The sequence below is a fragment of the Homo sapiens genome, chromosome 5 (genome assembly GCF_000001405.40).
Source record: "Homo sapiens chromosome 5, GRCh38.p14 Primary Assembly".
Lineage (NCBI taxonomy): Eukaryota > Metazoa > Chordata > Mammalia > Primates > Hominidae > Homo > Homo sapiens.
Genome location: NC_000005.10, coordinates 78,485,230 through 78,500,449, shown reverse-complemented (window position 1 = coordinate 78,500,449; position 15,220 = coordinate 78,485,230). Strand labels below are relative to the sequence as shown.

General features: G+C 44.2%; 1 protein-coding gene across 6 annotated transcripts in view, besides 3 other annotated features; it reads left to right on the top strand.

Moving 5' to 3' along the window:
- The window catches only part of LHFPL2 (LHFPL tetraspan subfamily member 2), a 163,543-nt gene extending 148,323 nt beyond the window's left edge, over positions 1–15,220 (top strand). For 4 of the 6 annotated variants that reach the window (XM_006714515.3, NM_005779.3, XM_047416606.1 and 1 more), the window contains one exon: positions 11,297–15,220. In XM_006714515.3, the coding sequence (XP_006714578.1) occupies positions 11,297–11,553 (257 nt within the window). In that variant the 3' untranslated portion in view covers positions 11,554–15,220. Of the gene's footprint in view, positions 1–5,918; positions 6,089–9,124; positions 9,371–11,296 lie in introns of those variants that run through there. The other 2 variants (XR_007058567.1, XM_047416608.1) reach the window with 2 other exon arrangements.
- Positions 690–984: a silencer, noted in NCBI's record as "tiled region #4849; HepG2 Repressive non-DNase unmatched - State 15:Elon". NCBI's record gives its function as "represses a minimal TATA promoter and a strong SV40 promoter by Sharpr-MPRA in HepG2 cells {active_cell/tissue: HepG2}" and the evidence as "EXISTENCE:reporter gene assay evidence [ECO:0000049][PMID:27701403]".
- Positions 2,220–2,399: an enhancer, noted in NCBI's record as "active region_22709". NCBI's record gives its function as "activates an Ori minimal core promoter by ATAC-STARR-seq in GM12878 lymphoblastoid cells {active_cell/tissue: GM12878}" and the evidence as "EXISTENCE:reporter gene assay evidence [ECO:0000049][PMID:35858748]".
- Positions 7,571–8,074: an enhancer, noted in NCBI's record as "H3K4me1 hESC enhancer chr5:77788199-77788702 (GRCh37/hg19 assembly coordinates)". NCBI's record gives its function as "activates a minimal SCP1, AML or CMV promoter by ChIP-STARR-seq in naive H9 embryonic stem cells {active_cell/tissue: H9 hESC(naive)}" and the evidence as "EXISTENCE:reporter gene assay evidence [ECO:0000049][PMID:30033119]".

Here is a 15,220-nt window from a genome sequence, read left to right as displayed (position 1 = left end):
GCCAGATGCCTGAGATTATGAGCAGCTTCCCCTGCATGCAGACATAGGAATAAGCAGATCCCTCAATGACATGGGTTTAACTAACACCCACTGGATCACGGATAGTGGTGCAAGGATTCAGGGGTAGGAGGCAATCAGGAAAGACAAAGATCATCTAGCTCTATGAATTGAGAAAGGCTGCTTGGGAGGTGAGATGGCTGAACAGTGGCCTGACCTATTGGAGGAGAGATTTGGGACTGAGATGCTCATTGCCCAATTTTGTCTAATTGGCTACAGATGGCTTTCTTGGATGTGTTTTTTTATGGGTGATTTTGTGGATGGCATTATTTTTCTGGATGGATCTGTAATTTCAAATGGTTCCCAAGCATAGAAGATCTGAGCAAAAACTAAGTCGTCAGTTGATTATACTGCCTTTTTTTTTTTTTCCTTTTGGTCCAGTGGGTTTGGTGCTGTTTGCAGTTTTCTGCTCACACAGGTGTTCCACATTCTGTACAAGGTTCACATCATAGTGAGCCTTAAATTGTTCTGACCTGTTCATTAGGCTTCTTTCTAGAAGTTGGTCGGACCAAGGGCAGCCATTCCAAAGTGGCATCTAATGCTTCAGTAAGGTTGGTGACACTCAGATCAAATGGAAGAGAGTGGAGATGGAATTTCTTTATCTTGCTGTTGTTTTGCAATAGGATTAGCAAGTCAACCTGCTTGACAATAGGCTACCTTTATTTTGGTGCAGTCTTCCACTCTCCATAACCCCTCACGGCACTCCTGTGGTTTCTCACTTGATAACAGTTCCTTATCACCTGCTCTCTAATCCTTGTAGATATAACTAAGCAAGCTTTTGAATGCATATCAGTCTCTCCTCTTCAGCTGGACAAATGTTTTTGTCTTGGAAGTTAGTCTCTGGTCTGCAGTAAAACAGCAGTCTAGGATAAGGCTCAGGAAGTGGACTCTGGAGCCAGATTCTCTAATTTGAGTCCCTGTCCTGCCGTTGATTAACTGTGTAACCCTACTTAGCCCTTCCGTGCCTCAGTTTCCTCATATGTCAAATGATATTAGTAGTATCAGCCTCATAGGATTGCTATCAGGACTGCATGAGTTATATTTAAAGTGCTTAACCAGTGCCTAGCACAGAGTGCTCAACAAGCATGAAATGCTCCCATTGTTAGTGTAAGTTATCTTCATGATTATTAAAGGGTTCTAATCATCTTTACAAACTTCCAACTAAAGTATCCATTGTGAATGTATATTATAAATTTGGGGGAGGGTGTTTATAGTTTCATCTCCATTTCATCTTTAGAGTCTATCATTTTTACTATAGAAGACCTTTCCAGAAGGTTCTTCCAAAGAAGTGATGCTTGGAAAGGAAATGGGCATCAGAAATGGCATGTGAAGCTGGTCAACACTGCCATTATGTGTAGAGGACTGCATAAGAGGCACTGAGTGTAGATGGGGATAGGGCTGGAGACATAGAAACTGAGGAATAGGAACACTCTTTACCACTATCAACACGTTTCCAGTGGAATCGTAGTTCAGGCCTCCAGTCTGTCTTGGAACCAGTGCTGTTTTATAATGGGACAAGTGCATCTATGTCACAGTAAGACTTCTGTTTTTTACAGGATAGTTTTCCAGATAGATGGTTATCCACTTTTTATTATTTTTACCCAAGACATTCATTCTAAATTGTATCATGTATGTCTCTTTCTTCTGAAGTAGGGTGTCTCTTGTCTTGGTGAGTAAGGATCAGTACTGCAGAGTGTCTCCAGAGTCCCTGCACATGGGAAGTCTGCAGGTTCACACTGTGGTCTTTGGGAAGAGAATATCTTAATGGCAAATTCAGTGGCGAGGGAACTGGATGTGGTCTGATACATGTGCCCTCCTCAAAGCACAGTCTTCAGACTGTCTGACAGTTTGCCTTAGGATATTGTAAAAGAGAAAATATCTCCACCTAGCAACAGTTGGTGGCCTACAAATAGCTGCTAGGGGCTGCCAGAATGACTTCTGACTATCAGCATGGAAGATGACTTGGGGAAAGATTAAAAACGTAGAAAACAGAGGGAAGCACACAGATGAGCATTAACCACACACAGAGATGCTGCTTATTACTCAGTCACCAGTTGTTGTACACTTGACTGAGACAGATGGCCTGACTTCTAAACATCTACTGGAAACAGAAAAACACACCCCCACCCTGAGAGGTTGATCTGCGATGCTGCCAAGAGGAGTGGGCGTTTTCCTGGGCTGCAGAACAGTTCTGCATCCTCTGCCCATAGTGCTGGTACCTTCGCAGTGGTGTTTTCCGTTCTCCAGGCTCACACTGCTAATATTTACCACCCTGCCTCTTTCACAAGTGGTCGTGGCTCACCTCATTCCCCCACGTATCCTTTGTCTTCTCTCACCTGTCCTTTCCCGTCCTTCTCCCGCGTGCTGCTCCTCTCCTGGCCAGTGCCTGGCCAGCTCTCACAGGTCAGCCGCGGCCTGTCTTGGCAGCTGTCCTTGCTGCAGCCAGGCCAAGCTGGAAACAATTTCAGAGATCTGAGCCTAGACTCAGGCTGGTGTCTAGATACCTGAAAGTGTATTACATTTAATCAACTGACTACTTTTTTCTGTGTGATTTCCTAACAACCAGGTATTTTCTGTAGCCAGGAAGGTTTTCAGTGCAGGCAGTTATGCAAAAGACCAGTCCTGTGGTTTGGTCTGCACATGTGTTTCAGTAGTAACTGTGTAGCTGGCGTTCTGTTGGCCAGAATTGCAAACTGAAGCTTTTCCTCCAACCATTTCAAAAACTTGTCAAGAACTTTCTACAATGGCTTTGTTTAAAAATGTAATATAATCACATCACCTTATCTTTTCATTCATCCATTCAAATCAGTGAATATTTACTAAGCACCTGTTACATGTCAGACCTTGTTCTAGGCAGTTGGGACACAAAGAACAAACTGCATAAAGTTCCCTGTCCTCATGGAGTTTACATTCAAGCTGGCGGGGGTAGACAATAAATAAGATAAGTAAACTATATAGTATGTTAAAAGGTAGTGTGCAGTAGGGTAGAGGAGCCAGGAGAAGGTGTAGCCCGGGTGAGAGAGGCCGGGGTATGCTGGAATAGTGAGAGGGAATGTTGAAGATAGTTAGGGTAGGATTTATTGAAAAGAAGAGATTTAATTAACCACAGCCTTAAAGGAGATAGAGGAGTTAGCCATGTGGGTATCAGGAGAAAACATTCCAGGCAAAGGGAACAGCTAGAATGAAGGCCCACAGGCTTTGCCGATAGAGTAAATTGGGATTTCTGAGAAAGGAGTCAAAGATGATAGCAAGGTCTCTGGCCTGCACATGTCTAAGAATTGAACTCCCATTTGTTGAGATCAGGTGGACAAGGTGAAGAACAGGTTTTGAGTGGGGAATGGAAATCAAGAGTCCTGGTTTGGACATAATTTTCAAGTGCCTTGCTAGAGGCCAAGTAGACAGCTGGATATGCACATCTGGAGTTCAAAACTGGAAATGAAAACTCAGCTTGGGGTAGTACTTAAAGCCATGGGGCCAGCTGTGATCAGGAGGGGAATATAGATAGGGAAGAGGACCAAGGAGTGAGCCCTGGGCACCCTTGTGTTTAGACTGGAAAGGTAAAGGGGGAGCAGCAAAGAACACCAAGAAGGAAAAGCCAGTGAGGCTTCCCATCTGGAGGCAGAGCACTGGCTGATGATCTTAAATTCATATGAGAATAACTGTCCTGTCAGAGTTTTCCTTTATTCTAGTACCATCAGTACTTTGTGAAGCTGTCCCCACTGAAAAGCCTGGAATGCTGTCTAAGCTGTGTCATATGGAACACAGGAAGCAACTTAGTGGCAGGGCAGCCCTTGGGCATTATGCTGTAGTGAGCTGTGCTGGGTCAACAAGGGCTGGGGCTCAGACTTAGCTAGATCCACAGCCCTCTGAGTCACAGGGCAGACCAACACAAAACACTAGAGGGATTTGTTTTTTATTTTTTCAGAAAAATGTTATAAGAGAAATTGATGTTTAATAGTTAGATGGGCTGCTATGTTCCTAAAAGGGCCAATGGCCAGCTATTTCAAAGACAGACAGAATATGAACTCTTGACCTAGTTGTGTGACACACCTAGCAGGTTTATCAGTGAATGTTAAGGCAAAGTTGCAATGTCTCATTAGAATTCGTATCGATTCTAATTAACCTATAACCAAGTTCCTAAAAAGTGTCACGAAGTGTGCTGGGTGTGGGAGATACCAAAGCTTTTCTGCTTCAAGAGGCTGAGTCCCACTAGGATACTGTTGTATCATCAGGGTTGAGAGTAATGCCCTCAGTAAACAGCTATTGAATAAATTTTTAAAAGTGAGAAAGAGCTCAAGAGGGATGTACGTTGGAGGTGGGAACACAACGAGAATAACCCTGTGGCAGGAAGTGGTGACAAACATTTCCCGGGGAGGCAACATTTGCATTGGAATGAGGGAGAGAATGCCCAGATGCGTGAGCGTCCAAGGGGGTCACTGTGAATAACAGGCCCCTGTTCGAGGAATGGTGATGTGTGTAGTGTGACCAGATTGTTGACTATCACCAGCCTCTGAAACCCTACAGCATCCCACTCCTATAACCCAGCCATGGCCATCCATAAATGGTCTGTGAAGGCAAGCATATGGCATGCACTCCGTGGACACGCTTGGGAACTTCCCAAGTGGGGCCCACGTTGATCAGAGGTACTTTACATCTGCTGTCAATTGTCTGCTGTGAACTCTCTCCAGAGACGTTCCGATATTTCATAGCTGTGGAATAAGCTGTTTGATTTCGACTTAGTAAAGGTGCTGAGTGTTGGCCCTCTCAGTGGTGGCCTCTCCACAGATTGCTGGTAGTGGTAACAGGTGACCTTCTTTTGTTTCTGTTCTTAGAATTTCCTTTGCAAGCTGAGGTCTAGTCTTTAATATTTAGTCTGGAAGCCTGTGTGACGGGGAAGTGGGAGTGTGGTGTCTAAAGACTCACTTCTTCAGACAGTTACTCTGTGGAACAAGAGCCAGCCTGTAGTGCTCCCTTTTCAGGCAGGAACAAAGGCCTTTTTCTGTACAAATGGTTGGTGACCCACAAAGACAAGAAACCTTGAGTCCCATCCATTGGCCAGCAGGTGGTGAAGGAGGGTAGTAATCATGACTGATGTGGAGAGGGTGGGTTGGTCAGGGAAAGGCTGTGAAATAACCATGGAGCCTTATCCCACTTCTTCACAAACTGAAATGCTGTGGTTCAGAGTTGGCTCCTCCATTCCTAGCATCCCTCACTGTGAGACTGACATGGTCACCTTCAGACCCAGTGAAATACTCACTGTATGCAGCAACATCTAGCCTTCCCCAAACTGGGGGACTGGCAGGACTATGGAAATGCTTTTCTTCCCACCTAAGGGATTTGATTAAAAGTATTTGATATCCCATTATTTGATTCCAGGGCAGTATTTTAAAAATTTACCTAAGACATAAATTTGTGACTGGTCTGATCACACTCAGTGCAAAATGTTGCTAGGAAATCAGGACTGTGACTTGGCTTTTCCTGGTGTGTTTCCTACGTTTGCATTGGGAACACAGTGATAAAACTGTGTTCCTCTGTGTAGCCTCTGCCCTCACGGAGCCCAGTCTGATTATTTCTGTTAAATGCAAACCACGTATTTAGATTCCCCAAAGAAACTCTGAAGATTCTTGCACGGGTAGATAAAACTTCTGTGAGGAAAATATGAAAATGGCAGTGGGGTGTGGCAGGTGCTGCGCTGGGATGGCTGGTGCCCAGCTGATTGGGAGGGCGAGCACCAGCTATCCCAATACAATACCATGACCATCGGTGAGGTTGTCAAGGCTCTGTCTCCAGCTGGAGGTGGCACCTGTTGGGCAGTCCAAGTGACTGACCATCAGCTTTTCATTTGTTTTTTTCCTCTACAGATAAGGTTGAATCATGTGATCCCCCCATTGCCAGCAGATGCTAACGTCTTCTAACCTCCTTGGTACAATGAGGCTGTTAGAACACGGGGATGAGGATGTTGGAGTCTTTTAAGGTTATGAAAATTGTTACCTTCTAGGGCACCATTCTGTCAAGTTGAGCCATCGCAGAGGTGAGCAGCCCTCCAGGTGACCTATGGCTTCTTTCCATGGTGGCTGCGTTGTCTTTGGTGGCTGGCCAGTGTCATTCTCCCCCCCATTTCTTCTTCCTCCCAGCTGGGCTTGCTGCGACCCAGTCATGAATCAGGTAGAGATGCCAGGCAGAAGAAAATAAATGCCCACAGCCCTAGTCCCTTCCTTCTTCCATTGCCCTTCACAACACACAAACACACCCCCAAAACAACAGTGCAGTGAGGCAAGGTGATGGCAGGGCCCCAGAGACTACCAGAGAGGGTGGCCTCACTTCAGGAACTGCTTTTTTAATAGCTGCAAAGGGAGAGCAGACAGACCATTTTCTGGCTCAGCCGTCATGTGAAACCCAGTCCAAAGCATCCTTTACCTTCCATTTGGCCTCTGGACGTAACCTATGACCAAGCTGATAGTCCCTGAGTGTACTCCAAATTGAGTATCAGAAAAACCATTCCAAGTCTCCAGCAAACTTCGTATCTGTTACTGTATTCTCTTGCCTTTGTCTCATATGCCCATTGAAGAAGTTATTGATTTTAATTGTTTTATTAGTATCAAGCCCATTTGGAATTCAGGGCACAAGATTGCTTTTAAAACCCAGGGCTCACCGGCCTAGAACAGGATACATCAATCACCCAAAGGTCTCTATTTTCTTTCTTGCTGACACATTTCATTCTTATTGACTGGTATCTCAGTTATTTTACTGATTTCCTCCATGGGCACTATGGTTTAGAAATATTTTATTACAAAGCAAACTGCACTGTCAGTAAATTTTTATTAAGGTCCTGCTGTGTGCCCAGCATCATTCTAAGCACAGGCATTAGAGCAGTAAACTAAATACACAAAAATCCCTGCCCTCATGGAGCATAAAGTCAAGGATGGAGATGGATAATCATCAAATGGTAGGTTGAGTCGTATGAAATGACAATTCTTGTAGGTAAACATTATCAACTACTGACAGTTTCTTGTGACTGCTAGGATGAAGTCTGTGCCTGAGGGATGCTTGTCAGGGCCCAGGAACTCCTGCCCAGGCTGCTCTGAAGCTGCTTCAGCCTGAGAGCAGTGGAGAACCAGGGCCAGGCTGGGCTCAGACAGGTAGCTTTGCTTCCCACTGTGGACCTCGTGAGGGGAGGACTACGTGTGGCATTCACCACAGAGGGACACCCAAGTCACTGATCTTGCTGGGATTCCTTTGGTAGAAGAGGCTTTATCTACATACCCAAAGAAATGATAAATAAGATTTTTTAAAAAAATTTATTTTTGCTTACCTGAAGGCCCAGTTTTCTCTTAGACATTAGTCCATTTTACAGGTGAGGGATCATAGAGGGCAGAGCCTGGATTCAAACCCTATTCCATGGCCTCGGCTATGTTAATGATAACTGTGATGGGCACTGGGAGCAGAGGCCCGCCAGTCAGGGCAGAGTGGACAGTGGTGACTTCCTCCACTGCCCCACGGAGCCCTGGGTTAAGGCGCTCTTGTGCTTGTCGGGGCTGGCTGCCCAGGTTGCAGCGTGTGGTTGGCACACTTCACACCCACAGGGCAGATATACCTCACCCGCTTTGTATTACTCTGTCACATGGACTTTCCTGTGGGCTTATAAATATTCAAGCTGAAGCTTTCCACAGGCTCACAAGCATGGCACTCTTATGTGACTTAAACAACAGCAAGAGTCTCCCTGCTTTACTTATTCACAAACTGAGCCAGGAGCAGCCACAAGATTTGAAGATGGCCTGAAGCCCCTCAGCAGTCACACCTGAGCCATTAGAAAAGGGAGCGCCTCAGGGCAATTAATGCTCCTGGCTGGGCTCAGCACGCTGTGGAAAGGAGCCTGATTGCTATCAAAAATAAGGATTGTATTAAGTGATGTAAAACCTGCCTGCTTCCCCAGAGAACCCAAGACAGCCAAATTAAGGTATTTTTTGTGCCTTACAAACTAGGCAGAGCCTGACACAAGGTGGCAGAGCTGGTATGTGACAGCAAACTCCATGCTTTGTCTTCTGTCCCTAATATATTAAAGTGCACATATAATACAAGTGCAATGTGCAGTTAATGTTGAATTGGAACAAAAAATATGAACACTTTGGTCTTTTAAAGGGAAGAGCAGCTAATGCTGCCTCACCTCAGGCCTACACTCAGAGCTTTAGGGCAGAGGCTACAGCACACCCAAAGTGCCTTTGCGTGCCGGGCTGGGGGAGATTGTACAGAAGGCCCATGGAGGGTACACCAGAGTGGCACCTTAGGACCTGGAGGGAGAAGACTATTAACATCCCCATCATACCTTGTGGGGAGGCTTCATAGGGAACAAAGTGGGATGCAGACAAGATTAATTGGGGTTTATCATAGGCCTTAGAAATATTTAAGAATTGGTTAAATCATTTAAGATCTCAGCTGAACAAACCTCTGTTCAGATGGAGAATATTTTTTCAAGAGTACTGAATGTAGCCTGGGGATCTCCTCTCTCCCCAAATTATTATACTTCTCAAAATATGCCCTTAACAATGAGCTGATCTGCTTCTGTGTGAGAGGGGCCTGCCGAGGGCTTTTGACCTGTGTTCAGGCTCATCATCTGTTTCCAGTTTTTGTTACGATGGTAGAACAGACTTCACAATTCACAGCCACCTATGAGTGATGGATTAGTCCATTTTACAGGTGAGGAATCGTATGTCGGTCACTCAGCTCATACAGGGCGGAGCCTGGATTCAAACTCTAAAGTCAGAGCTCTTAACTATTAACAGAATCACCTCTTAATTTGGTGAGTCTCTGCTGTGGTCCACCATATTTCTGGTTTGTGTTCTAGCCTCCTGTCCTCACACTAGACTATGGGGTCTTTTCTGCTACTTGATTTCTACCCTTTCATTGCTGTGGTTCAGGACCTTCCATATTCTAGACGACCAAGAGTCTGCACTGGCTGCCTTAGCCTTGGGGGAACTGGCTGCTGGTCATTTCTAACAGCCTCTCTCCAGCTTCACTTGCTCTTCCCAGCACCAATCACATTTCCTTGCTACAACTCATTGCCTCCCAGGTTCCCACCATTCAGATCTATAGAGAGGGCCGTGGGGTTAGAAAGACTTCCTTGTGAATCACCCCTCTTCAAACAATGAGCATCTGAATTGATTCCCTCTACTCCACCCCTGCTACAAAGTCCCTTGAGGCCATCTGAGAAGAACAATGGGATGGGGTGGAGACACTGAAATCCCAAAATGCCCTGGTAGTGACATGCCAAGCTGGACACCATCACAGGATGAAGACCACTGTGAAAGTTGTGATGTGTAAGTTGAAACACTGTCCCCAATCTTCCTTCACGCCTCATACTGCCATAAAGTCAGTCATGTTTTCTTTGCGGGGAAGTTGCTGTAAATGACTTAGAAGCTTTGGTGGGGTAAACCCAGAGAATTTCAGTTAAGGTAGGTAAAGAAACAGAACTCAGAGCCAAGATGCCAAGATTAATTCACCAGGATAGAATTGATATTCCCCAGTATCTAAAAAGTGGGAACTTTGATTATGATACAGCATTCTTGATTACATAGGTTGAATTTTTCAGAGAAAATGTTTTTGCCCTCCTCCTCCTCTTGCAGTATCTTGCTTTTTTTTTTTTTTTTTTGAGAGGGAGTCTCACTCTTTTGCCAGGCTGGAGTGCAGTGGCCCAATCTTGGCTCACTGCAACCTCCACCTCCCGGGTTCAAGCGATTCTTCTGCCTCAGCCTTCCCAGTAGCCGGGACTACAGGTGTGCCACCACGCCCAGCTAATTTTTGTATTTTTAGTTAGACGGGGTTTCACCATGTTGGCCAGGATGGTCTCACTCTCTTGACCTCGTGATCCACCCACCTCAGCCTCCCAAAGTGCTGGGATTTCAGGTGTGAGCCACTGCACCTGGCCTAAAGAAGATCTGTTACCAAGAAAGTTTTAAAGTTTTGCTGGGTAAAATCTGGGGGGGCCTAGGTTGCCTTTGTCATTTCAGGCCTCTGGCTTTTTTGGGAGGAGCTACTGTCATGTGACTGGCAGCCAGGGTGAGGCACCCACTGCAGGCACAGGGCTGATACCTGAAGGTCAGCAAGCGACTCCTTTTGTGGCTCACCCTAGTCCTAGCTCTGGTGGGACTAGGCAGGAAAAATAACTCAAGTGATGCATTCTGGTTATATAGTGAGCAGTAATGCTGTGAAGAACAGGAAAATAGGTGTTTAAAATGACAAGGTAGTAGGGTCAGCAAAATGGAAGTAAAGCTTATTAGTGTCCACTCTCTTAAAAGTACGCAGACAGAAAGTCCTTACAAAGTTTGCAATTTGTTTGTAAATGTGTATATAAATACAGAAACATCTGGCTTACTTAAAGCACTAACAATCAGGTAAAGACCTGGTCTCCCTCGTGGCCCTTGCTCTTGCATTTAATCAGGTTGACATCAGATGGTTCTGTGTGAATTTCCTTAGACCAGGAGTTGGCAAACTCTTTCTGCAGAAAGCCAGACAGTAAACATTTTAGAGTAAACATTTTAGATTTTGCAGACCATAGCAAAGCAGTCGTAGGCATCCAAAAATGAATGGCCACAGCTGTGTTCCAATAAAACTTTACTTATAAAGTTAACATTTGGCTTGAGGGCCTTAGTTTACCAACATCTGCCTTAGACCAAAAGAGAAATGCTCAGTGCACCAAAAGCCCTGTGGGAATACATAGTAACAAGTTGGCCACTCGTGGTGGAGGCCGAGGTGGGAGGATCACTTGAGCTTAGGAGTTTGAGACCAGCCTGGGCAACATAGCAAGACCTCATCTCTACTTAAAAACTTAGCCAGGTGTGGTGGTGTGTGCCTGTAATCCGAGCTACTTGGGAGGCTGAGACAGGAGGATAGCTTGAGCCCAGGAGTTCAAGTGCAGTGAGCTACAACTGCACCACTGCACTCCTGCCTGGGCAACAGATTGAGACTCTGTCTTAAGAAGAAGAAAAGTACCAATTTGCTTTTCTAGAAGAGAAATTTTTAGTGGATTCACATTCCAACATGTAAAAAAGTGGCTGAAAATATTTCTAATAATGTGATACTTCTTGATCAGGTCAGATTAGTTTGCATGAAACAGTCCCAACACTTTCTATTGCAGAATAGATGCCCTTGCCCAAAGCAAGCAAATCAAGTAACAATTACAACAGATCTGGACAGTTGTAGCACCATGGGGATTTTCTAATCTGTTTTCTCTTTTGTTCTGCAGGTCTATTCCTTATCCTCGGTTTGATACTCTACCCTGCTGGCTGGGGTTGCCAGAAGGCCATAGACTACTGTGGACATTATGCATCTGCCTACAAACCTGGAGACTGCTCCTTGGGCTGGGCCTTTTATACCGCCATTGGGGGCACAGTCCTCACTTTCATCTGTGCTGTCTTCTCTGCACAAGCAGAAATTGCAACCTCTAGTGACAAAGTACAGGAAGAAATTGAAGAGGGGAAAAATCTGATCTGCCTCCTTTAGTTTGGAAGAGACAATGCCATTTTCTCCCTTGAGTAATCTTGTGAAACAGTCCACAGTTTCATCATTTGAGTCAAGTGGAGAACTAACCTTTACCTACCAAAGCCACGTTCCACGGCCCGAGGCTTAAACAGGACCAATGAGAGGCCACATCCAGCTACGCAAAGTTACTGGACATGCGGTCTGCAGTGCACATTATAAGGAATGGAACATGAAAATAGTATATAATCCTAGACCTGGAGTTGCCAAGTTCTGTCAGACTCCATCTCCCCCAGGTTCAATGAAGGATAATAATCTAAATCATTAGGGCAGCAGTTTCTCTGGTAACGGAAGAGACCGTCCGCCAGATCTGCAGGCTGTTTCTGCTCCAACACTGCTTGCTTGTGAGCATCTCTGCCTCAGAATGGGGTTTTGGGTTGGAGTTCTTGTTTTCCTCTGTTCTTTCAAGTTGTCTCCAACGAACAGAAAACTATAAACTTACTGGGGACAGGATGTGTGCTAAAGGGCACAGCAAGACACTGTCTTTTGCTTAGCTGACCAAAGGGGTCAGCAGGGATGGCGTGGAGTCATGCTGTGGAACTTATTCTAGGCTGAATCCTAGGGTAAGGTGGATCAACTGAACTGTCACTCCAGAGATTTTAGAAATTTGAGTAAAGAAACAATAAGGACCTATACAATCATATGAGAACAAAAATATGAAATCTTGCTAGTGAAGACGTATTTTTTCTTCTTCCCAGCAGCCAGGCTAGCACCAGTTCTGGCCCAGTCTCCTCTTCTTCTGGAGATCACATGTTTTTCTTCTAAGGTTAGGATTGTGCTTTGACTGCGAAAGGAAACCTCACTGTTTCCTCCTTCCAGGGACTGAGGTCTCCAAGCTAGCTGTGGCTTATGCAGATGTTCACTGGGAGGACCTGCCAGAATCTCGGCACTTGGGGGGAGACCTTTACTCCCAGTTTGGTGACCATGCTGTAGTCAGCTCTATTTCCAATCCCGACAGTAGCAGAATGGCATTCTACAACAAAAAGAAGCTAGTTATGGGAGTTAAGTTTTTGTAGTTACTGGTGTTGATCCTGAAAGCAGACTGAGATAACATTAAATTGCTGCAACTGAAGAACTGCAGCCAAGACCTTAATTCCAGGAAAGCACAGAGGACAAAGTTAATTCAAAAAGAGGCGCTAGATCAAGGTCACAGCACTGCCTACACCTGTTTACAAAAAGAATCAAATACCACTATGAATAAGGATTCAGGGGTTTTTAATCTACTTTCCATAAATTACCAATATCACTGATTCAGGAAGATAGTATCTCAGAATGACCAGAGCAGCACAGAAACAAGCTACTCTGACATTATGGGAGCTTCAAAATTGTATCATGATACAGAAACACTCCTTAGCACTTTAAGAAAGTGAGATGGAACTGCCAGATTTCTGGAAGGAGAAAAAGTGTAGGTATTTGGGTTCATTAATCTGCTCACTTGAGGACTTTGTTTTGAAAAAGTACCTTCTGTGGACAAGGTATTGTGCTACCAGCTATACAACCCTGACTTCAGAGTTTGCAACCTTGCCCTGAGTGAATCATGTTAAAGCTGTCTGAGTCTAAAGCACCGTATCTTGGTGCAGAACAGATAATTATACAGAGATGGAATGGGACAACCGCAGTTTTACTACATTCTGGTGTTTGGCCTATATGAGAAACCATCTTCTCACAGATTAAGGGCTAAGGGCAAAAGGGGTGGGAGGTGTGGAACTAGCCTTAATGAGTTTCCCATTCCTGAACCAAAATTCAAAGTGAGTGAGATGTAAATCCTGTGATTTTGGTGAAGAAAAAAACGGGTATCTTCATAGCAGCCTAGGAAACCTTAACCATATCTCTAACACCACACAGAAAGAGGCTGGAGGAGCCACTGGACAAAGCTTCTGTCTCTGTGTGTACATTTATAATGTTCTAACCAAGTCTCAAACCTTGATGAAAAACACAAAATTTTTCCATAAACTTATCAGAAGACTCACTTTTCTTTCTTTCTTGGATAGAGAAACCATTTTCTGACACTAGGTTTACAATCTCAGTGTCCTTACAAGTTAAGTCCTAAGCTCACAGGATCCTCCGAGCATGTCCATCACCTGCTCTTTGGCTAAGGTGGCAGTGTACCTCTAGATCAACCTGGGAACAGTCACAAGGGAGTGTGACTTCTTGGCCATAATAAACTCACTCGATAGTGTTTATGTTATTAATCTGAATGCAACAGAAGACAAAAGCACAGGCATGCACACACACAGAACCCCAAACCACTAAAAACTACCTAAACACTGACTTAGTAAATAGTAAAAAGGTAATGTTGGGACTTTTAAACCTTGAATCCATTAGCCAGGCTTGGGATGAAAGGACCATCTAAAATCATGCTAGTCTAAACCATGCTCTTCCACACAGCTGTTTAAAAACCACTGGGTATGAGGAATATGCTAGAAAGAAATGTTAAAAATAGATTGTTGGCTCACACTTATTTTTCTAATAAATAGGACCATTATTACTACCAGGAAAGTCTTATTTATTTTGCCTGAAATTGGCTTAAAGAAAGTCTCATGACGGGATGGGATGGGCTGCGCTTCTCAATGAACTCTGAGGCAGAAATATTTGCCTTGGATTCTGTGGATTCTTTAAACCTGTGTGCTAATAATTCAAACAATGTTGCATTAATTGTATAAGGGTTTTTGTATAGTTTTCAAACATCTGTGGTGTAATGATCTTTGTTAAACATATATTCTGTAAAGTGCCATAGTCTTTTTTTATGTGTAGCATATTTAAAAATATATATGTATATTATACATACACAAGTTTGTGTGAAAGATGTGCAATAACAAAGGTGTATGTATGTTTTGTTGTTTTGTTTTGGAAACTGGACAGGAGTCAAAACAGGGATGTTTGTTTCTGTTTTGGCAAGGAGAGTTCCACATTTTTGCCTTCATGGCTTATTCAGTAACCCATAATTTTAATGCTACACAAATCTTATGTGAAGAAAAGACTGGTATGAAATCATTTTTTCCTGGGTCTAAAATAATCGCTAGTGTTATGTCAAAGTTAAGCCCGCACGCCAGGCCCAGTTAATGCTAGTCTTTCATGTGAAATGTGAAGCTGCCATGTTGCCTTTTCTCTTAGTAGGATAACTAGTAGCTGGTACATAATCACTGAGGAGCTATTTCTTAACATGCTTTTATAGACCATGCTAATGCTAGACCAGTATTTAAGGGCTAATCTCACACCTCCTTAGCTGTAAGAGTCTGGCTTAGAACAGACCTCTCTGTGCAATAACTTGTGGCCACTGGAAATCCCTGGGCCGGCATTTGTATTGGGGTTGCAATGACTCCCAAGGGCCAAAAGAGTTAAAGGCACGACTGGGATTTCTTCTGAGACTGTGGTGAAACTCCTTCCAAGGCTGAGGGGGTCAGTAGGTGCTCTGGAGGGACTCGGCACCACTTGATATTCAACAGCCACTTGAGCCAAATATAAAATTGTATTTACAGCTGATGGACTCAATTTGAGCCTTCAAACTTGTAGTTATCCTATTATATTGTAAACTAATACATTGTCTAGCATTGATTTGGTTCCTGTGCATATGTATTTTCACTATGTGCTCCCCTCCCCAGATCTTAATTAAACCAGATTTTGCAATTCA